This window comes from Homo sapiens, chromosome 11 (genome assembly GCF_000001405.40).
Source record: "Homo sapiens chromosome 11, GRCh38.p14 Primary Assembly".
Taxonomy (NCBI): Eukaryota; Metazoa; Chordata; class Mammalia; order Primates; family Hominidae; genus Homo; species Homo sapiens.
The window spans coordinates 14,732,155-14,756,730 of record NC_000011.10 but is presented as its reverse complement, the minus strand read 5'-3'; the positions used below and the strand labels follow the sequence as shown (position 1 = coordinate 14,756,730).

At 36.7% G+C, this 24,576-nt stretch overlaps 1 protein-coding gene across 11 annotated transcripts in view, besides 1 other annotated feature; it reads right to left on the bottom strand.

Moving 5' to 3' along the window:
- The window catches only part of PDE3B (phosphodiesterase 3B), a 255,518-nt gene that overhangs the window by 142,591 nt on the left and 88,351 nt on the right, over positions 1 to 24,576 (bottom strand). The window contains exon 2 of one of the 11 annotated variants that reach the window (NR_190766.1): positions 23,865 to 23,950. The exons of the other annotated variants lie outside the window; for them this stretch is intronic. The gene's annotated coding sequence lies outside the window, so the exon portion shown is untranslated. The remainder of the gene's footprint in view (positions 1 to 23,864; positions 23,951 to 24,576) is intronic. 11 annotated transcript variants of the gene reach the window in all.
- Positions 13,187 to 13,686: an enhancer, noted in NCBI's record as "H3K27ac hESC enhancer chr11:14764591-14765090 (GRCh37/hg19 assembly coordinates)". NCBI's record gives its function as "activates a minimal SCP1, AML or CMV promoter by ChIP-STARR-seq in primed H9 embryonic stem cells {active_cell/tissue: H9 hESC(primed)}" and the evidence as "EXISTENCE:reporter gene assay evidence [ECO:0000049][PMID:30033119]".

Sequence of the window (24,576 nt, the reverse complement as noted above, 5' to 3'; positions counted from 1 at the left end):
AGAATATGTTACCATGTGCTATTACCATACAAGTAATCCTGCTCTCTGAGGTGGATATTCTCCATTTGTCCCTTCAGATCCACTCTCTAACTCGCAGTTTTCCTTAGGAGACTAACCTTTTTGGACTCCATCCAAAGGTTATTTGCCATGTGGCTTTTGGCAGGATTAGGACTACGGGAGGCACCAGCAGGAGATGAAAGGGCAGGAGGAGAATGAGGTCAAGGTATTTGTAGGTGGGGTATCACCTCCTTTCTGGACAGCGTGGGTTGACAGTAGTTGGATTCCTCCACCAAAAGCCACAGCTCCTCTTGAGGGGCCTCTCCTATAGCCACCCCTTGTCTCTTTAGGCTTCGATGGCAAAAGCCTATTTCCCAAAACTCTCTCCACCCTTTTATAAATAGTCTGTCATTAAATGACCCTCAACTAGTCCATTGGAGTGTATTATTCTTGCTGGGACCCTGACTGATACACTCCCCAACTAGATTATAATATATCTTGATATAGACACCATTTCTCATATTTCTTTTTTATCATTCTTAGTATCCAGCAGAAACACTTGCATATAAATAAAGTTCACTAGAAAGAACACTAGATGGAAAATGAGAATATCTCAGTTCCATTTTCAGTTATACCAATGTTTAGCTTCCATTAAACCTTGGATTCTTAATTGTAAAATAAGGATTCTTAATTGTAAAATAATTGTAAAATGGGTTAAGTTGGAGTAAATAATCATCTAAAGTCTGTTCTGGGAATGATGTAGAATTATTTTTTCAACACTAATAGTTGAAACTCTACCAGTAGAGACTTATTTCTCTGTGTTTGATAGGTATGAGCTCACTTAAAAGAATGAATAATTGTTTAGCTCACAGTTAGCAAACTTTGTATATAAGGGTCAGATAGTAAATATTTTAGACTTTAATGCCCAAGAGACAAAATCAAGGTTATTATGTAGGTACCTAGTACAATACAAATATATTTCCATAAAGTTTTTATCGACAAAATTCAAAATATAATAATGTGAATATAATGTTTTGTAATGTGGGTCTTCCAATGAGAAGAATGGAATTCTTTTGGGGAAAGAGTATTTCATTTTAATTGGGACTCAAAGCTGGTGTTCTCTATCATCAAAATCAACGTTTATCTGTTAATGTTCATCTGTAATGAGATTTTACATATTTCATTTTTGAAAATGTCTTTTCACGCAGACAAGCACTGCCAAATATTGATACCAGTCCACAGGCACGTTATTTTATTTAAGTATATTCCTCACTTACAAGGTATTTATAAAATTCTATTAGATTCTTCTCCTGACTTTTAGCAGGTCATTACACTGTAAATAATCATTTCCAGTTGACAGTTACCTGGAAGTTCCTTGATTGCACAGTTAAACAGATTTTGAAATACGGAAAATCCCTAACTTGTATTTTAGTTTGAAAACTGCTGCTAGAACTATAATTTTATCTAGAAAATGTATCTGCCATAAATTTGTGTGGGAATGGACATCTAACTTCTTGTTTTAACTTTTGACAAGATGTGACATATACAGTGGCTTGACATTACTTGTGACTCAAACAACATTCATTGTCATCAAAATGACTTTTACTATAACATGATTTTTGCATTTAAACTGTTATTCCTTGTAACTTTAGGATGGATTTATCAAGTCTGCAGCAAAAGTTAACTTCCAAAGTCACTCAGTGTTCAGTAATCGTGGTTGAGGGTGGTTCTTCTCATTCAGAAAAATTTCAATCTCAGTCCTGAGCTCAAAAAGTACAACAGATAATGGGAGAAATATTACAGAGATTGTCCTTCCAAGACTGTGCAACTTCCTGGTTTGAAGAGGGCATGAAAGAGAAGAAGGGGAGCAAAGCCAAAAGAGCCTATAGAGTTCAAATCTGAGCAGACACAAAAGATAATGGCGACATTCATAAAAATAATAAAGGATGAAGAGACCTAAAAATAGCTGTTTTTGTTTGTTTGTTTGTTTTAAAAGAGATGGAGCCTTGCAATGTTGCCCAGGCTGGACTTGAACTCCTGGGCTCAAGCGATCCACCCACCTCAGCCTCCTGAGTAGCTGGGACTAAAGGCACCCACCACTGCACCTGGCTAGAAATAGCATATTTAACAAAACGTTGTCATATACAAAAGTATATATGTATAAAATAGATAAATTGAGGAATGCATGCTCACATTCCAAAACACTATTTATTTTTCCAAAGGATTTACTACAGAGTTCTTTTAAGTAATGTCGTTTATAACATAGCAATAATAATATCTACACACTCAGGTTATTGAGACATCAAGTGAGATAATACACATGAGAGCTTACATATTACTCTAGAGATTGATCTCAAGAAATGTTAGCATGATTTGTTAGTATTATTGATATTAATAATAATGAGTTCTCTTGATTTGTTTATTTATATAGAGTTAAGGAACAGTGAAAATTAAAATGCTAAAGAAACTGGCTGGTAAAATTAGATTATCACATTAAATTACCCAATTATTTAAATATTTAATTCCCATAAATATACATGTAACTCAGAAAAGAACAAGTAATTAATAAAAAGTGAACTAATTCTCCCTCTATGCCATGAAATATTTTTTAAAGTTTTTGCCTACCTAATTGGGTCAAGCCTCATCACATACTCATATTCCTTTGTCTAAAGTCTTAGTTGTTTATAAAAGCTGTTTTAAAAAATGTTGTATGTTATTTAACATAATCTAAACAGGACAAGAAGTTCTTAAAACACAAGCTTCCACATTCACTCTATCTTATTACAAAATAAAAATAAACAAGCCAATAAGATTTTATTGGTATGGAATGAACTATTTTTATAACAAGTCTTGCTTTTCAATTTCCAAAGCAAAACACTATTTAATCATCTAACATCAAGTGGAGTTTTTAAAATCTCCTGCATGTGCTTCAGTTTTCCCAGAAAAGTAACAATTTTAAGTTGTTGTGTATATTTTATGTACTAAAATATTTAAAAACCTGGGGAGTTCCTGCTCCCCTTTCATCCTCTAAAAGGGATACTTTGTTTTTTATTCTCTTTTCAATTAAAGTATCTTACTTCTATCATTTAAACACAGAGGCATAAAAATAACAATTCTTCTGCCTGGTAGAAAATACTGAAGATACAGCACTGGATGTTTAGCCTAATATTTACCTAAGGAAATCAAAGCTATTGGATTCTTACCATCGTAATTTTCAGCATGGAGAAATCAGAATTGGCATCTGAGAATAATATGTCAACTTCACACACCAAATGATTCAATTTATAAACCCAAGAATTATCAGAACATCATGTTATTACAGAAGATATTTCATAAAAAAATATATCCATCATTTAGGGCATTCAATTTAACTTCGACATTAAAATTCAAGTATTTGTTTACATCTCCATCTCTTTTATTAGATTCTTTGATAACAATATTCCTGGCCTTCTTTATCCTCGGTGACTAATAAAGTATGTGGTTCATGGAAGGCACTCAAAAAGATCTATACTGAAAATATGCTTGTAATTGTAAAATCACCTGAGTCAAAACTTTTATATCTCTCCCTCCAAAGAACTAAGTTACTTTTCACTTACATTAACAGTTAATTTTTCCTATGATCCAATGGATGGTGAATAGGGAAACAAAGGGGAAAAACAGGGATCCTAGACTCCTGACAAAACACAAATATGTTATCTTACCACTTCCACACACTATCATTCCTTAATACCTGAAGACTAAGTAGTTTATCAGTTTAGCTATGGTCACTGAATAAGCATCCCAAAGCAATGGAATAAATGAGAGCAAACAGTAGATAGTTTAGAAAGCAAAAGTCAACAGATTATACTAGAATACTAGATAACTTTTAGAAGAAGTGGAAAAGAGGGGTAAGGCAAAAGAAAAAAGATTAAGAATGGGGCAGGAGGACAAAAGTGACTGAATAACAGTAGCCTTTGACTTGTACAAAGACAAGTAATACCTAAATGAAGGATTCCAGGGCTTATCAGAATCAAGGAGAAAATGCAAGGAGTGACCATGTCAGCTCAGAGTTTGTGATGGCCACAAATAAAGAAAAAGTCTAGATATATTCAATGGATCTCCTTAAAATTTAATAAAACATTTCAACGTTCTCACAGAAAAGACAGCCATGACTCCATAGCATAAAACTTGAAGGAGGGAGGAACTTTAGAAGAGAGCTGGGAAAAGAAATTAAAGAATTTAACCAGTGAACTCAAAAAACCCAAACCTCAAAATTACCTATGGCTTGCAAAGTTCAAGAGACAACAAAAGGAATTTTCTTTCTTTTTCTTTTCTTTGATAGATTAAACCAAGATAGAACAACAACAACAACAAAGCCTTATTTCAGAAGATAGTATAATACCACTAAAGAGAAAGTAAAACTCTTTAACTCCTAGATTGTCCCAGTTTTCTCTGTCAGAAACTGAAAAGGTCTGAACAAACATTGTAATGCCAGAACTAAAGCCCAAGACAGGTAAGTCACTCCAAGTTCTTAGTCAGAATGAATTATAGTCACAGGATACTGAGAGAACTAGCACATGAGGTTATTGGTAACCTTTAAAGACTCTTAGAAACAAACAAATGTAATTGATTTATAAAAATAAAAAAGTAGATTTCTTAGAATACAGAAGATGAGTGTAGCAAGTACCACTGATAACCCATGTCACAGTCCCTCAGTCCACTTTTTGTCATACTTGTGGTGAACCTTCCTGAAAAGATTTACCTCACATTAACAGACTGCCACTTCAAAGATGCATTCACCATCTTTCCACTTTCTGTCCCAGGATTTTCACTGGCACTACAATGTCCCACTCAGCCTGTTAGCAAGGGCAGCCTGGAAATATGGGTGAGTTAACTTTCCCAGGTTAAGGGATGGAGGGAATCTTTGACCAATAAAGAACAAGAGCTGATAGATAAATCTCGTTGCCTATCTTTCAGATAGAAAGTCTAGGAAGCTTTCTGAACACTTTTCAGGATGTCACAGCAGAATCTAGTTTCTGCTGTCAAAACTACCACTACAATACTATAGTCTTATATTGGCATTTCCTTCTTCCCTGTCTCACTCTTGACCACTTCCTTATTCCCACTTTGTGGGATCACTTCCCAAATAAACTACTGTCCTTGTTTCATGCTTGACTTTTAGGGAAACTTAAACCAAAACAATACGGCTGATATCAACTGATTACAAACAAGTTTTAAGGAATAATTTATGACAAATCAGGTGAAGAGGTAGTGATTAGTATAAGTTTATATCAACTCACTAGAAAAATGAGTGACAATTTCCTTTTTTGCCAAGATTTATTATTAGATGGCGTATCAGAGAAATTAGGTAGATGCACTCAATTTCTTGAAACAAACTGATTCAAAACAGAAAAGAATGAATTACAGTAATGATATAAAGTAATAATCATTGGAACCTCCAGGGTGCTGCAGGTCAACCTGGAAAGACTTAGCAAGTGCAACACTACAAAATTCTAACTTCTATAACATTTTTAAAAATATTACTATAAATGACATAAATTATATAAAAAATGGGATTTCCAAATATGAATTCACAGAACAGTGCCAGGCAGCTTGCATAATCACCAGGTGCACAATGTTTCTGACTAAATGTGAGGGAGGAACTAAAAATCTATTTTTTAAAACTCCTCAGATGATTCTGATGAGCAGCCAGGTTTGGTAATCTGTGATATAGACAACATGCCTATTGTATTTGTAAATGACAGAAACGTAGAACAGGGAACACACTAACAGAGTGATTCTGAAAAGACCAGGCTAGAATCAAAAGATGGACTAATTCCAACTAGTGTGATCAGTCTGGCTGCCTAAAAAAAATGAATGAGATCTTGGTTTATTTTATGTAGATGCAGGGAGATAATAATCTCTACTCCTATGTCAGTGTTAATGGGCCACACCCATAAAATGTATTCCTTTCTAAAATTACACTTTTAGAAAAAGTATAGACCAAAGGTTCTTAACCACTTCTTGAACAATGGACCCCTTTTGCAGTCTAGTAAAGCCTATGGATCCTTTTCAAAATAATATTCTTAAAAGCATAAAATTTAATGCATAAGAAAACAGAGAAAACCAATCAGTCAATAAAATTTATATCATATCTACATTATAAATATTATTAAAATAAACATGATTCAATAATATATGTTCTTATAATTAGGAAATTATATATAATATTCACATTAAGAACCAATGAATGTCAATATTTCCAAATATCTGCAACAACTATAGTGGATATAAAGTTATCTGTGATTTCTACTGTTGTGAAGCCACAGTTTTGCTATAGTGGTCTGTTGCTTACAATCATAAATTTTCAAATTTATGATTTGAAATAATCATAAACTCTCATTCAGAAGTTAGTAAATATAAGGATACAAATTTTTCATATTTGTGATAGTTAATTTTATGTGTTAACTTGACTGAGTTTCAAGGTGCCCATACATTTGGCCAAACATTATTCTATTCTGTATGTATCTAGGAGGGTATTTCTGGATGAGATTAACATTTGAAGCAGTACACTGAGTAAAGCAGATTGCTTTCCCTACTGCTGGTGGACCTCATTCAATCAATTAAATAGAACCAAAAGGCTGAATAGGAGGAATTCTTCCTGCCTGACAGCTTGAGCTACAACACTGGTGTTTTCCAGCTTTAGAACTGGACTGAAACATCCTCTCTTCTTGGGTCTCAAGCTGACCAGCTTTCAGATTGGAACTTACACTACTGGCTCTCCAAGGTCTCCAGCTTGCTAAATGCAGATCTTGGGACTTCTCAGCTTCCACAAAGATACATATATATATATATGGGATATATTTATTTTAAATCTATAAATATATAAATTTTAAATATATATAAATAAATATATATATATTTATGGGATATAGGAGGATGTGCATGTGTAAATATCCTCCTATTGGTTCTATTTTTCTGGACAACCCTGACTAATATCAAAATCCATGGGTTTCCTGAATCCTATTCATGGATTCTGCTCCTAGTAGAGACCATCTGCAGTATATTCTGAATAACAGAGAAGGCCTTTGTGACATATGAAGAATGGCTGAAGGAACCAAAAGTATTTATTTAGAGAAGAAACTTCAGGAATGGTAAGAGAGATTGTGGAGTCATAAAAGCTGTCCTCAAATATTTTATGATTGTCATAAGGAAGACTGCTTAAACCGTTCTGTGTAGCCCCAAAGAATCTAGGGCCAACAGGTTAAAAACAAAAAGAAAGACAAGGAAGCTGACTTTGATTCAGTATAACTATTTGCTTTTCACTAGTCAATGCTATCCAAAGATGGAATGTATTATCTTCAGAGGTATAGAGTTACTCATCATTGGATCAGTACCTGCATAAGCTAGCTTACTATTTAGTTAATGTGTTTAAGGAAATTCAAGCACTGAAAGGCCAGACTAGATGATCTTCACTTCTCTTTCTACATGAATATTACTTTTCATTTACATATGTACCAATCTATGTTTAAAAAAAAAGTTTTATACAAAAATAGAAAGTTCTTGGCCAGGCGTGGATGGCTCACGCTTGTAATCCCAGCACTTTGGGAAGCCGAGGCAGGTGCATCACTTGAGGCCAAGAGTTTGACACCAGCCTGAGCAACATGGCAAAACCCCGAATCTACTAAAAAGACAAAAATTAGACAGGCATGGTGGTACATACCTGTAATCCCAGCTACTTGGGAGGCTGAAGCATGAGAATCACATGAACCCAGGCGGCGGAAGCTGCAGTGAGCCAAGACTGCGCCACTGCACTCCAGCCTGGGCAAAAGAGCGAAACTCTGTCTCAAAAAAAAAAAAAAAAGAAAGAAAAGAGAAAGGCTATAGACCACTCCTTAAAAGGAAGTTAGCTCTTTTTTTAATAGTATCATTTTAGTATGGGTATTTCAACAATGACGAGAAAGACCATTATCTTTTTACCTTAACTATAGTGTAGTTAATAAATGTAGCTGTCTCAGATACTTTCCAAAACCATAATGAATGAAAAAGAGAACTAAATAAGTTAGAAAGTGAGAATTCCATTGGAAATAATTGTTCCTATTTTGAAATGATTAAAGAATCAGTGTAATAACCATTCTGCTATTTGGGTCAGAATTTAAATAATTGTATAAGGTTTGTGTAAAAATATAATTAGGGTCTCTTTAGCTCATGTCTATGTTAAAATAAGTTAGCAATTATGTATTTCACAAAAATGAAAAGAATATTGTTATACAAAAATCAAGTTAATATATTATGTGAAAATTCAAAGAATATTATGAATTTGAAATTAACTCTGTACTGAAAAGACTTCAGGTTTCTGAGAATGATTTAAAAATACATAGAAAAAAAATTGTGATTTAATTTATGAATGCTGCTTCTTCAGGCCATCTGCCTCAAATCAAAACAGCTGCAGCCAATCTGAAACATAAACAGCTACATATCCAAGAGAACAATTAATAGGTCACAGAACGGCTACCCATCACAAATAGGGAATTACAGTAATAAGATCTGAAGTAATCCTCAACATTTTAAAATAATTCTAAACCATATGATCTATTCTTACTAATATTATAGGCCTATGCCTATGTTAAACCATTTAGATTATGTTAAAGAACTAGGTTACATTAAAGAATTTAGGTTATAACTCGCTTATAACACTCATTTACAATATAATAAATGCTAAAGGAAATGCTATACTATGTTGGTAAAATTATTATATGCACAATTTAATCACTAAAAATCTAATTATACTTGTAAATTTCTTGTCATTACGTATGTGGTAAGTCAAATAGTGACTATTTCTTCAAAGGGGCTTTTGAATTCTGAAACACAGAAATGTGTGCACTTCTATAACAAGGTATTTATGAAACACCTGCTACTTAAATATGTATATTACATGCGTTTATAAAACAATCCATTATTTTTGCAAATCATTTGATTCAAAATATGGAAGTTAAAAAATAAGAAATATTTTAAATGAATTAATTTTTAAGCCATTCTCCCCTCCTTCCCTCCCCCAATACACACACATCCCACCATCACCACTACATTTTGGTTGCTTGATTTTTTAGGGATTATGCACACGATATGCTTCTTTAAAAACTTTATACAGCACATAAAGGCTTAAAATGAAAACTATACACTTCCCTTTGTCCCTATCCCCTGGAGTCAACCACAATGAATAACAGATTCTGTTTAGGCTATCTTCTGACTGTCTTCTCTATGGGAGAAAGACATGACAGCACTTACTCTTCCTAGTACTCACTCACTTTCATGTTATATTATTTTTTACAATGTTGAGGCTTTGATATTTGTGTTATGTTGTGTAAGTCTAGTCAAAAGTGGCAAATCAAAGGGCTTTACAATACTATGATTCTGTAAGTATCATTCACTCTGAAACAAAACAGAGTGACTGATATGGTTTGGATGTTTATCCCTCCAAATCTCATGCTGAAATGTGATTCCCAAAGTTGAAGGTGGGGCCTGCTGGGAGGTGACTAGATCATGGGGCTGGATCCTTCATGAATGGGTTAGCATCATCCCCTTGGTGATGACTGTGTTGTTTAAAAGATTATGTTGTTTTAAAGATTGTGTTGTTTAAAAGAGCATGGCACCTCCCCCAACCCTTGCTCTGGCTCTCGCCACATGACACACCTCCTCCGCCTTTGCCTTCCACCATGGTTGTAAGCTTACTGAGGCACTCGCCAGGAGCAGATGCTGGCACCACACTTCCTGTACAGCCTGAAGAACTATGAGCCAACTAAACCTCTTTTCTTTATAAATTACCAGTCTCAGGTATTCCTTTATAGTGATGCAAAAATGTCCTGTAACAGTGACTAAAGCCATAGAGATGGAAATGAAATTCTACATAATTAAGATCACTATTTCAAATAGGATCTTCCAAAATTACCATCGAAAGGATCCTCGTATTCTTTTCAGCCTCACTCATGCTTTCTGGGTCATACTCTTGCCACTATTCCATTTTTTTAACCTTATGTAATGCTTAATATTTTAAGTGACAGCTAAATGAGCCTAAGGATAGCTTTCAAATATCTCAAAACATGACACCAGTGAAAGATTATTTCTCATTAGCAAAAGAATACAAAAACATTTAGGTAAGTTTATATCCTCAGCTTTTAAAACATCCTAGTCTAGTAACTAGAAAAGGGCAACTAAGACATCCCTTCAGAGTTGTCCTAAATTGGGTTGAGAGAGGGTGAAGCCTTTACAGCATCAAATCAACAACTCATTTAATGTGAGCTGCCCTAGAAAAAGGGCATTAGCTTTTTAAAGACAGCTTTATTTTATTATTTTTTATTTTATTTTATTTTGAGATAGAGTGTCACTCCATCACCCAGGCTGGAGTGCACTGGTGCGATCTCGGCTCACTGCAACCTCCGCCTCCTGGGTTCTTGTGCCTCAGCCTCCCGAGTAGCTGGAATTGCAGGTGAATGCCACCACGCCCAGCTAATTTTTGTATTTTTAGTAGAGACAGGGTTTCACCATGTTGGCCAGGCTGGTCACGAACTCCTGACCTTAAGTGATCCATCCGCCTTGGCCTCCCAAAGTGAGGGGATTACAGGCATGAGTGCGGTGGCACCTGGCCAAGACAGGCTCTCGTTAGACATTTCAACAATTTTATGAGAGGGCTTCCTGATGAGACCTGTCAGTGGACAATCTTCCTAGCAGCTGGGGAAATAAATCTTTCAGTCCTGAAGGGAAGAGCTGGACAACATAACATAGAACATGGGGATATGGAATAACTATCATGGATGCTATGTTATTAGGGACCTGAATCTGAATCAGATAGCAAATGGGGATGTGGAATAACTATCATGGATGTTACCTGATTCAGATTCAGGTCCCTGATCTCACAAAATTCCAAGAGAATCCAGCCAATATACATTAATTCTTTTCCTTTTCCTGTCAAACAGGCTAAACAATCCTTGTATGTACTTTAGATGGGCACAGGCAGGGAGGGTGGAAAAAAAATGGTGAAGGGAAAAAGTATAGCGAGGAAAGGAGGAAAAATAAAAGGAGAAGGAAAATAAAAAAAATATACATAATAAAAGATTCCTATCCACCTCTGACTTCATTTGGCACTGAATTCCAGCTAACTAGTAGCTGTCTAACATCAAAGTTGACAAATGATGGTGAGCAGAAATCAATACTTCTAAAAGTACATTTTTATATATTTCTTGATAGTTTTTTTTATGTAGCTAAATACAAAGAAATAATGGTTGATCCACAACAGGAACAAGAAAAGTACGTGGTTAAAAAAAAATGCCATATTAGATCTGCTGTGTGTGTGTATGTATAATAACTTAATCAATATAGTTAGATCACAAACAAGACTCAAGCAAAAAACCAAAACCTTAAAAATAAGTGATTATCCAGATACAGTATTCTTTCTCTGAATCAAGAAATAACATTTTAAAGAACCACTAAAATTTCAAAGTCAGTTTATAAATTTCACAGATATTTAATTACAGAATTCAGAAAAAAATTATTTTTGTAAACAGCTTGTGAGGCACTTGCTCTAGGGAATGTGAAAAGAACAAAACACAGTCTCCCTCCAAAAAAGCTACCTTCGGCTGGTGCAGTGGCTCACGCCTATAATCCCAGTGCTTTGGGAGGCCGAGGTGGGAGGATCGCTTGATCTCAGGAGTTCAAGACCAGCCTGGGCAACATAGAGAGACCCTGTCTCTATAAAATAAAAACAAAAAAACAAAAAAGCTATTTTCACAGAGCTTATAAATTAACAAAAAGGATAAACACTTAAAGAACAATTATACTATATGACTGAGCTAAATTATAACCCTATCCCCTGGGCTTTTATTCATTGTCAATATTAAAAATATGTTTCCTATAAAACATTAAAATTATCCTTATAATGTTATTTCATGTCCCTAATGCAAAAGTTCTCATAATAATTTTCTCCTAGAGTTGAGTTCCAGAAAAAAGTTCTTCTCTTTTATTAGAAAGTCACATACACTGACCCTGCTTCCCTATCTCATTTCCTTTTTGCCAGCCTTTCAGGATGCTTAGAACTAAATCTACTACTCAATTTATTTTATTCTCTGTGTATGCACATTGGGATCTTAAGAGAAAGAACTGAGATGGGAGATATAGATGAAATAATCCATCTTTACAACAGAATTTACAATGGCATCAAAAATAATAAAATACTTGGTAATAAACTTAATCAAGGCAGTACAAAACTTTGACAATGAAAACTACAAAACATTGCTGAAAGAAAGTAAAGAAGACCTAACTAAATGGAAAAACATTCACATTCATGGACTTGGAAGACAATATTGTGAAAATGGCAATATCACCCAAAGCAAACTAAAAATGCAATGCAATTCCTATCAAAATCCCAATGACTTTTTTTGCAGAAATGAAAAAACTGATCCTACAATTCATACAGAATTTTAAGAACATTGAATAACCAAATCAAAGAAAAAAGAATAGAAAGGAAAAAAGAAACAGTATAAGACTCACATAGCTGGTTGCATAACTGATTATAAAAGCTACAGTAATCAAAACATCATGGTAATGGCATAAAGACAGACATGTAGATCAATGGAATAAAACTGAGAATTGAGAAATAAACCTATATATCTGTGGTCAACTGATTTTCAACAAAGGTGCTAAGAACACTCAACAATATAAAACTAATCTCTTTGATAGTGGCTGGCAAGATGGTCGAATAGCAACAGCTCTGGTCTGCAGCTCCCAGAGAGATCAATGCAGAAGGTGAGTGATTTCTGTATTTCCAACTGAGGTACCCAGCTCATCTCAATGGGACTGGTTAGACAGTGGGTCCAGCCCACAGAGGGCGAGCAGATGCAGGGTGGGGCATCTCCTCACCCAGGAAGTGCAAGGGGTTGAGGAACTCCCTCCCCTAGCCAAGGGAAGCCATGAGGGACTGTGCCGTGAGGAATGGTGCATTGCGGCCCAGATAGTACGCATTTCCCACAGTCTTTGCAACCTGCAGACCAGGAAAATCCCTCTGGTACCTACGCCACCAGGGTCCTGGGTTTCAAGCACAAAACTGGGCAGCCATTTGGGCAGACACCGAGCTAGCTGCAGGAGTTTCTTTTCATACCCCAGTGGCACATGGAACACCAGCAAGACAAAACTGTTCACTACCCTGGAAAGGGAGTTGAAGCCAGGGAGCCCAGTGGTCTAGCTCAGTGGATCCCACCCTGATGGAGCCCAACAAGCTGGGATCCATTGGCTTGAAATTCTTGCTGCCAGCACAGCAGTCTGAAGTCAACCTGTGATGCTCCAACTTGGTGGGGGAAGGGGTGTCTGCCATTACTGAGACTTGAGTAGGCGGTTTTCCCCTCACAGCATAAATAAAGCTGCTGGGAAGTTCAAACTGGGTGGAGCCCACTTCATCTTGGCAAAGCCACTATAGCCAGACTTCCTCTCTAGATTCCACCTCTCTGGGCAGGGTATCTCTGAAATAAAGGCAGCAGCCCCAGTCAGGGGCTTAGAGATACAACTCCCATCTCCCTGGGACCACCTGGGGGAAGGGGCAGCTGTGGGTGCAACTTCAGCAAACAAACGTTCCTGTCTGCCAGGTCTGAAGAGAACAGCAGATCTCCCAACACAGCGCTCAAGCTCTGCTAAGGGACAGACTGCCTCCTCAAGTGGGTCCCTGACCCCCGTGCCTCCTGACTCGGAGAAATCTCTCAGCAGGAGTTGACAGACACCTCATACAGGAGAGCTCTGGCTGGCATCTAGTGAGAGCCCCTCTGGGACAAAGCTTCCAGAGGAAGGAACAGTCAGCAATCTTTACTGTTCTGCAGCCTCTCCTGGTGACATTCAGGCAAACAGGGTCTGGAGTGGACCTCCAGCAAACTCCAGCAGACCTGCAGCATAGGGGCCTGACTGTCAGAAGGAAAACTAACAAGCAGAAAGAAATCGCATGTCCACTCAAAGACCCCATCCAGAGGTCACCAACATTAAAGACCAAAGGTAGATAAATCCACAAAGATGGGGAGAAACCAGCACAAAAAGGCTGAAAATTCCAAAAAACACAACGCCTCTTCTCCTCTAAAGGATCACAACTCCTCACCAGCAAGGGAACAAAATTGGACGGAGAATGAGTTTGACAGACAGAAGTAGGCTTCAGAAGGTGGGTAATAACAAACGATTCTGAGCTAAAGGAGCATGTCCTAACCCAAAGCAAGGAAGCTAAGAACCTAGAAAAAAGGTTAGATGAATTGCTAACTAGAATAACCAGTTTAGAGAAGAACATAAATGATCTGGTGGAGCTGAAAAACACAGCACAAGAACTTCATGAAGCATACACAAGTATCGATAGCTGAACTCATCAAGTGGAAGAAAGGATATCAGAGATTGAAGATCAACTTGATGAAATAAAGCAAGAAGATTAGAGAAAACAGAATGAAAAGGAACGAACAAAGCCTCCAAGAAATATGGGACTATGTGAAAAGACCAAATTGCGTTTGATTTGTGCACCTGAAAGTGACAGGGAGAATGGAACCAAGTTGGAAAACACTCTTCAGGATATTATCCAGGAGAACTTCCTGAACCTAATAAGGCAGGCCAACATTCAAATTCAGGAAATACAGAGAACACCACAAAGATACTCCTCAAGAAGCACAACCCCAAGACACATAATTGTCAGATTCACCAAGGCTGAAATGAAGGAAAAAATGATAAGGCAGCCAGAGAGAAAGGTTGGGTTACTCACAAAGGGAAGCCCATCAGACTAACAGCGGATCTCTCGGCAGAAACTCTACAAGCCAGAAGAAAGTAGGGGCCAATATTCAACATTCTTAAAGAAAAGAATTTTCAACTCAGAATTTCATATCCAGTCAAACTAAAGCTTGATAAACAAAGGAAAAATAAAATCCTTTACAGACAAGCAAATGCTGAGAGATTTTGTCATCACCAGGCCTGCCTTACAAGAGCTCCTAAAGGAAGCACTAAACATGGAAAGGAACAACCAGTACCAGCCACTGCAAAAACATACCAAATTGTAAAGACCATCGACACTATGAAGAAACTGCATCAACTAACAGGCAAAACAACCAGCTAGCATCATAATGACAGGATCAAATTCACACTTAACAATATTAACCTTAAATGTAAATGGGCTAAATGCCCCAAGTAAAAGACATGGACTGGCAAATTGAATAAAGAGTCAAGACCCATTGATGTGCTGTATTCAGGAGACCCATCTCATATGCAAAAACACATAGGCTCAAAAAAAGATAGCAGAATATTTACCAAGCAAATGGAAAGCAAAAAAAATGCAATCCTAGTCTCTGATAAAACGGACTTTAAACCAACAAAGCTCAAAAGACACAAAGAAGGGCATTACATAATGGTAAACAGATCAATGCAACAAAAAGAGCTAACTATCCTAAATATATATGCAGCCAATACACGAGCACCCAGATTCATAATACCAAGTCTTAGAGGCCTACAAAGAGACTTAGACTCCGACACAGTAATAGTGGGAGACTGTAACACCCCACTGACAATATTAGACAGATCAATACGATAGAAAATCAACAAGGAAATTCAAGACTTGAACTCAGCTCTGGACCAAGCAGACCTAATACACATCTACAGAACTCCCCACCCCAAATCAACGGAATATACATTCTTCTCAGCACCACATCGCATTTATTCTAAAATTGACCATATAATTGGAAGTAAAACACTCTGCAGAAAATGAATAAGAATGGAAATCATAACAAACAGTTTCTCAGGCCACAGTGCAATCAAATTAGAACTTAGGATTAAGAAACTCACTCAAAACCGCACAACTACATGGAAACTGAACAACCTGCTCCTGAATGACTACTGTGTAAATAAGGAAATTAAGGCAGAAATGAATAAATTCTTTGAAACCAATGAGAACAAAGACACTACATATCAGAATCTCTGGCACAGAACCAAAGCAGTGTTTAGAGAGGAATTTACAGACTAAATGCCTACAAGAGAAAGCAGAAAAGATCTACAATCGATGCACTAACATCACAATTAAAAGTACTAGAGAAGCAAGAGCAAACAAATTCAAATGCTAGCAGAAGACCAGAAATAACTAAGATCAGAGCAGAACTGAAGGAGATAGAGACACAAAAAATCTTTCAAAAAATCAGTGAATCCAGGAGCTGGTTTTTTGAAAACATTACCAAAATAGACAGACCGCTAGCCAGACTAATAAAGATGAAAAGAGAGAAGAATCAAATAGACTCAATAAAAAATGATACAGGGGATATCACCCCTGATCCCATGGAAATACAAACTACCATCAGAGAGTACTATAAACATCTCTATGCAAATAAACTAGAAAATCTAGAAGAAATGGATAAATTCCCGGACACATACACCCTCCCAAGTCTAAACCAGGAAGAAGTCAAATCCTTGAATAGACCAATAACAAGTTCTGAAATTGAAGCAGTAATTAATAGCCTACCAACCAAAAAAAGTCCAGGACCAGACAGATTCACAGCCCAATTCTACCAGAGATACAAAGATGAGTTGGTGCCATTCCTTCTGAAACTATTCCAATCAATAGAAAAAAAGGAAATCCTCCCTAACTCATTTTATGAGTTTAGCATCATCCAGATACCAAAACCTGGCAGAGACACAACAAAACAAGAAAATTTGGCCAATATACCTAATGAACATCGATGCAAAAATTCTCAATAAAATACTGGCAAACCGAATCCAGCAGGACATCAAAAAGCTTATCCACCACAATCAAGCCAGCTTCAACCCTGGGATGCAAGGCTAGTTCAACATACACAAATCAATAAATGTAATCCATCACATAAGCAGAACCAATGACAAAAACCACATGATTATCTCAACAGATGCACAAAAGGCCTTCGACAAAATTCAACACCCCTTCATGCTAAAAACTCTCAATGAGCTAGGTGTCGATGGAACGTATCTCAAAATAATAAGAGCTATTTATGACAAACCCAGAGCCAATATCATACTGAATGGGCAAAAACTGGAAGCATTCCATTTGAAAACCAGCACAAGACAAGGATGCCCTCTCTCAGCACTCCTAGTCAACAAAGTATTGGAAGTTCTGGCCAGGGCAATCACGCAAGAGAAAGAAATAGAGGGTATTCAAATAGGAAGAAAGGAAGTCAAATTGTCTCTGTTTGTAGATGACATGATTCCATATCTAGAAAAACCCATCATCTCAGCCCAAAATCTCCTTAAGCTGATAAGCAACTTCTGCAAGTCTCAGGATACAAAGTCAGTGTGCAAAAATCACAAGGATTCCTATATACCAATAAGAGGCAAACAGAGAGCCAAATCATGAGTGAACTGCCATTCACAATTGTTACAAAGAGAATAAAATACCTAGGAATCCAACTTACAAGGGATGTGAAGGACCTCTTCAAGGAAAACTACAAACCACTGCTCAAGGAAATAAGAGAGGACACAAACAAATGGAAACACATTCCACGCTCATGGTTAGGAAGAATCAATATTGTGAAAAGGGCCATACTGTCCAAGGTAATTTATAGATTCAGTGCTATCCCCATCAAGCTACCATTGACTTTCTTCACAGAATTAGAGAAAACTACTTTAAATTTCACATGAAACCCAAAAAAGGGCCTGCATAGCCAAGTCAATCCTAAGCAAAAAGAACAAAGCTGGAGGCATCACACTACCTGACTTCAAACTATATTACAAGGCTACAGTAACCAAAACAGCATGGTACTAGTACCAAAACAGAGATATCGACCAATGGAACAGAGCAGGAGCCTCAGAAATAATACCATATATCTGCAACCATCTGGTCTTTGACAAACCTGGCAAAAACAAGCAATGGGGAAAGGATATCCTGTTTAATAAATGGTGTTGGGAAAACTGGCTAGCCATATGGAGAAAACTGAAACTGGACCCCTTTCTTACACCTTATACAAAAATTAACTCAAGATGGATTAAAGACTTAAGCGTAAGACCTAAAACCATAAAAACCCTAGAAGAAAACCTAGGCAATACCATTCAGGACATAGGCATGGGCAAAGACTTCATGACTAAAATACAAAAAGCAATGGCAACAAAAGCCAAAATTGACAAATGGGATCTAATTAAACTCAAGAGCTTCTGCACAGCAAAAGAAGTGAAAAGTCAACCTAGAGAATGGGAGAAAATTTTTGCAATCTATCCATCTAACAAAGGGCTAATATTCAGAATCTACAAAGAACTTAAACAAATTTACAAGAAAAAACAACCCATCAAAAAGTGGGCAAAGGATATGAACAGACACTTCTCAAAAGAAGACATTTATGCAGCCAACAGACATATGACAGAAAGCTCATCATCACTGGTCATTAGAGAAATGCAAATCAAAACCACAATGAGATACCATCTCACGCCAGTTAGAATGGCGATCACTAAAAAGTCAGGAAACAACAGATGCTGCAGAGGATGTGTAGAAATAGGAACACTTTTACACTGTTGGTGGGAGTATAAATTAGTTCAACCATTGTGGAAGTCAGTGTGGCGATTCCTCAGGGATCTAGAACTAGAAATACCATTTGACCCAGCCATCCCACTACTGGGTATATACCCAAAGGACTATAAATCATGCTGCTATAAAGACACATGCACACGTATGTTTATTGTGGCCCTATTCACAATAGCAAAGACTTGGAACCAACCCAAATGTTCAACAATGATAGACTGGATTAAGAAAATGTGGCACATATACACCATGGAATACTATGCAGCCTTAAAAAATGATGAGTTCATGTCCTTTGCAGGCACATGGATGAAATTGGAAATCATCATTCTCAGTAAACTACCCCAAGGACAAAAAACCAAACACCGCATGTTCTCACTCATAGATGGGAATTGAACAATGAGAACACATGGACACAGGAAGGGGAACATCACACTCTGGGGACTGTTGTGGGGTGGGGGGAGGGGGGAAGGGATAGCATTAGGAGATATAACTAATGCTAAATGAGGAGTTAATGGGTGCAGCACACCAGCATGGCACATGTATACATATGTAACTAACCTGCACATTGTGCATGTGTACCCTAAAACTTAAAGTATAATAATAAAAAAAATGGTTAATTTTAGGCTATGCAAATTTCACCTCAATTTTTTTAAAGAAGAGCTGCTACAATCTTTGCACATTAGCTGTTTCATTTCACGGAGCTACAAGTTTGATTAAAGAAGGCAGCCTGTGGCCGGATGCAGTGGCTCACGCCTGTAATCCCAGCACTTTGGGAGGCCAAGGCTGGCGGATCACGAGGTCAGAAGATCGAGACCATCCTGGCTAACACAGTGAAACCCTGTCTCTACTAAAAACACAAAAAATTAGCTGGGCATAGTGGCAGGGCGCCTGCCTGTAGTCCCAGCTACTCAGGAGGCTGAGGCAGGAGAACAGCGTGAACCCGGGAGGCCGAGATTGCAGTGAGCCAAGATTGCACCACTGCAGTCCAGCCTGGGTGAAAGAGCGAGATTCCATCTCAAAAAAAAAAAAAGAAGGCAGCCTGTTGGTCTCTCTCTAGCTATTTATCTATCACTGACATTGTGCTTTTTATGTATCACATTTCGTTCTAAATGTTTTACAAATGTAAATTCATTTATTCTTTATTACGAGCCTATGTAATAGATATTATTTTTATTTTCATTTTAAAGATAAGAAAGCTGAGACCCAGATAGATGAAGCAAATTACTCAATGTTGCACAGCTAGTACATGGTGGACTTGAAAAGTCAATCTGTCACAATTATGCACCATGAGCCCATACTAACTCCTAATGACCACTACTACCTCTCTTGGGTGTTCAGAACCCACTTCTTTAATCTTTTCTTAGTGACCACTACTATCTCTCTCAGATGATCAAAACCCACCCCTTTAATCTTTTCTAAGGTCAATGTCAAACCAATTGATTTATTGTTTGTGGAACCTTCATTTCTCCCTTCTGAAAATCAGAATGGCATGTATCTATCTCCAGTATTCCAGAACCTCTCTCCTTCTCTATAGTGTCTTAAAAAAATATATAGTCTGTTTGCTAATCTCCTTTGTAAGTTATCTCAATACCCTAGGACAAAATTCATCTGTATTGGGATATTTGAATATGTTTATGAACAATCAATCAAGTACTTTTCTATAATCTTCTTTAATCTTGGACTTCAGTTCCTTTATGATAACTGGGCTTTATTTCTGTTAATGGCAACTTTAGTTATACTCTTGTCAGTAAAAAGTACATCATTCTCCTTGCCCAAAAATACTGAAAGAAAATATGTACCAAAGAGGTTTTCTTTTCTTTGTGTTCTCTACGAAAATGTGCCCCACGCACCAGGGCTGTTTCCTCTTCAAAATTATTAATTCACAGAAAACCCCCAAAACACTCACTTCAACCAGCTTTTAACTCCCTTGTAGCTTTAGTTTCCTTCTACACGTTCAGGCTATTCTCTTTTTGGCTCTTAACTGTGCATCCTTTACTCATTTTGTTTATCAAGGCTGTGTTCATGCCTTGCTTCCCAGGCCGCCCTCAACTGGGCTTCAGTTCAGGGCCACAGTAATAAGCCCATCCTATCAATCCCAGTTTCAGGGCCTCCAGCCTGGATCAAAGGCTTAGCCTTCTACCTTGCAAGAGAGAAGAGCACAGGTAAAACTAGATTACTTGTCTTCTACTATCTTCCTTCATTGTTCCACTGTGTCAATCAACAATAAGGAGTCACACACACACACACACACACACACACACACACACACAACCTATTATTCCCAGCACATCCAGATTTTTTGTGAGGACTCTAAATATGCTTCCGTGTTCTCTTCCTCACTGTCATTATCCCCTATGTGATTCATCCAGACTAAATAACAATCAAGGATTTTGATCAGTTTTAATAGGCTCCCTACCAAACCTTGAATGTGTACCCTAAAAGCCAGCATACCTTTATATTGAATCTATTGCAGTGATGGCCAGTTAAACTTTTTTCGATGATGAAAACACTCTAATATGGAGCCACTAGCTATGTATAGCTATTGAGCACTTGAAATGTGGTCAGTGTGACTGAGGGACTAGATTTTTTATTTTATGTAATTTTAACTAGTTTAACTGAAGTTTAAACAGCCATTCGTGGCTGGCAGGTGCAGTGGTGGATAATTACAACCCATTTCTTCTACATAGTGCCAATGAGGTGTTTTCTTTCACCTTTTCGTTCTGGAGAATATCCCCTTATATTTGATAGTTTTCACCAGAAATTGTAATATTCTCTCTATATAGGATATATCTTGTAATCATTTTTAAAACTCCTATAATTTCTTCAGTATTCCTCTTCACTATTGTCCTGCTTCACAACCTCAGTATGAAGAATCTTAACATTTATTATATAGCTCCAAGATTCAAAGGTTTTATTTCTCCCTTTGTATCACATTCCTCTACTTTCTATCTTTGTCACACAGACTTTGTACCTCCTGGACTTCTCTATATTATCATTTCCTCTGTTGTATCTAGAAACTTTTCATCTTCCTTCAAGCCAGAGTGCAGAGGTATGGGTCCAATGCCCATTCCTTCTCAAGCATTATGATCGATATACATTTATACATATTTATGAGTGCTTTTTCTGTAGTGAAAAATATGACATCATCTCTGCATATTAGTATAACTGTCCAACAGAAGAAAAGATGATGGGGTGGGCTATTCTAGATTGAAAGAGATGAAAGAGACATAACCGCATGCAATGAATGTATAAACCTTGCCTGGTTTGGAAAAAAATGAAAGCTATAAAAGATATTTTGGGGATATTTCGGGAAACTTAAATAAAGAACAGATATTACATAAGATAGAATCAGTATTAATTTTCTTAGATGTGGTAAGGTTTTTGTGGTTGTATTGGAATCTGTATTCTCAAAAACAGCTTCAAGTGGTCTAACAAAAAAAAAGAGGAGATATAGCAAAATGTTAATTGTTAAATTAAGACAGAGGATATACAGATTTCCACCGAATAAATTTCAACTTTTCTGTATGGTTAAAATTTTTCATAATAACTCATTTAAAAGAATAGAATTATATGACATATTCCAGAAGTTCAAGATTAATTCAATATTGAGCATTCAATTAATATACTTCATATTATTAATATAAGAAGAAAAAGTATGTAATCATGCAATACATGCTGAGAGTATTGTTTTAGAAGTGCTAACTTTACACAATCAGAGAAAAAAGCAAAATCTTAGATTGAAAAGAAAGAAAAAGTGTCACTACTGCAAAGGACATTTACTTGGTAATCCCAAGAAGAACAACCTATAAGTTATAAGAAACAGTAAGTTCAGCAAGATTGTTATCAACACATAAAATTGGCTGGGTGCAGTGGCTCATGCCTGTAAACCCAGCACTTTGGGAGCTGGAGGCTGGAGGCGCTTGAGCCCAGGAGTTCCAGACCAGCCTGGGAAACACAGTGGGACCCCCAATTGTACAAAAAAATTAAAAATTAGCCAAGTGTAGTGGCATATGCCTGTAGTAACAGCTACTCAGGAGGCTGAAGTGGGAGGATCACTTGAGCCTGGGAGGCCAAAGCTACAGTGAGCTGTGATCATGCCACTGCACTCCAGCCTGGGCAGCAGATCAAGACCCTGTCTCAAGAAAAAAAGAAAACACTCATATGAAACTAATTTAATTTAAATTTTGGAAGAAACAATATGTTTGACTCACGACTACACTTAATTTGTTTTTAGTCGGATGGTACTTCGACATACCCTCACACTGAATGTTAGCCAATAATTTTCAATTTTCAATAAAGTGTTCTCTTTCTCAAATAGTTTTTAATACAGCAAATTCTGAAACAGAATCCCCTTTTTTTCCCTTTCTGCAGAGTAATGGTGGCTGTGTTCATGGCTAAATTAGAGCTCCTAAAAAAATTACATCTCATTCTTTCATGTCTTTTAAACTTCTATTTATTGGCTAAAAGGCACATCTTTCCTACCTTTTTTCTTTTTCATTTTCTCTCTGCTTTTATCAATACCAATGGCTTACTTTTCAGACCCACCATTTCCCACAAAATGATCCTGTACAAAAGCCTGTATCTAACTTCATGAAAGTTATTTCAAGAAGGAAAAACAAATGTTAAAGTAGGACAATCAAACTAAGCCTACCTACTAGCTGACTCCCATAACCCTAGCTTGAAGAACATGTAATCAAAAGCCACACCTTAATAAAATCACTATGGTAGCATTCATGAATTTAATTCACCAAGATTTCAGAACTCATACTACATAATATATCAGAAATACTGTTCAATTTCCAACTTTGACGGATCCAAAGAAATAAACAAGAGAGGTTGGGAGTAAAAGAGAGAATGCGCAGGAAAAGACAGGAGACAGAGAAACAGAAAAAATAAAAAATTAAAATAAGAATCGGAGCTTATTGTCATTTCTGTAGACCATCCTAGGGGCTGAGATATCTTTTTACAAGATAAAACATTCACTCCTAATCTTTCAATACAACTGACACTCCTCTGTAAGTTCCTCATTGTTTCTCCTTGTTGACTAATAACAATTAAACTTCTAATGAGTAAAAATCAAAATGTTCAAGCATCTTAGAAACGGGAATCTGAATGCCATTTTTACACTGTCATTTTGTAAAGCAATATGCATACTACTGTTCAAAAAATAGGTATATCGATTTGTGAAAATAAATTTTTCATATACGTTTTTAAGTATTAGGAATTTAAGTGTGTCTTAACAATGAAAATTAAAATAGCAATCTCATTAGGTGTATATGAACCAATGAATAAAACAGCAATTGTATCAATCTAAAGATCAGTGTTTTATGGTAGGCAAAACAAAACAGGTTTATATGCTAACCTGATACACAGTTGACTCTTGAACAACACAGGTTTGAACTGTAGAAGTCCACTTATATACATGGCTTTTCTTCAACCAAACACGGGCTGAAAATACAGTAAGTTCAGGATGTGAAACTTGTATACGTGGGTTCTGCAGGGTCTAATGTAGGACCTGAGTATGTGCAGATTTGGATATACTCAAGAGTCCTGGAACCAATCTCCCATGTATACCAAGGAACAACTGTATTTTAAATTGCCCTGTTTGATTTGGCAAACACAGATGATCCATCCTAGTAAGTTATCTTGAACACTTCTATTTTATAAGATCATTACTTTCCTCTCCATGTTGTTTAACCATGAAAAAAATGACACTAAAATGAATCTCAAAAATCTATAATTAAAAGGCAGTTCCTCAGAGTACATTTAATCTGTTCTTCATATTGAACTAGTCTAAAGCCACGGTTCTCAATTTAATTGCCTCATTAAACTATAGTTGCTCAAACTCCATTCTCTGATATATTGACTGGGCATTAACAGCTCCTATTAACAACAGAAAAATTAAGCAAAGTTAGGTACCAGTATGAAATCTAGACCCAAGAAAAAATCACTTGCTTTCGTATGCTTTTTCATTATTTTCATCTCATTTCCTTTTACTCTTCCCTTTGCTTACCTTGCTTTCAACATACTGCCCCCCACCTGCACCTTGCCTCACCTTGAACGTGTCAGACATG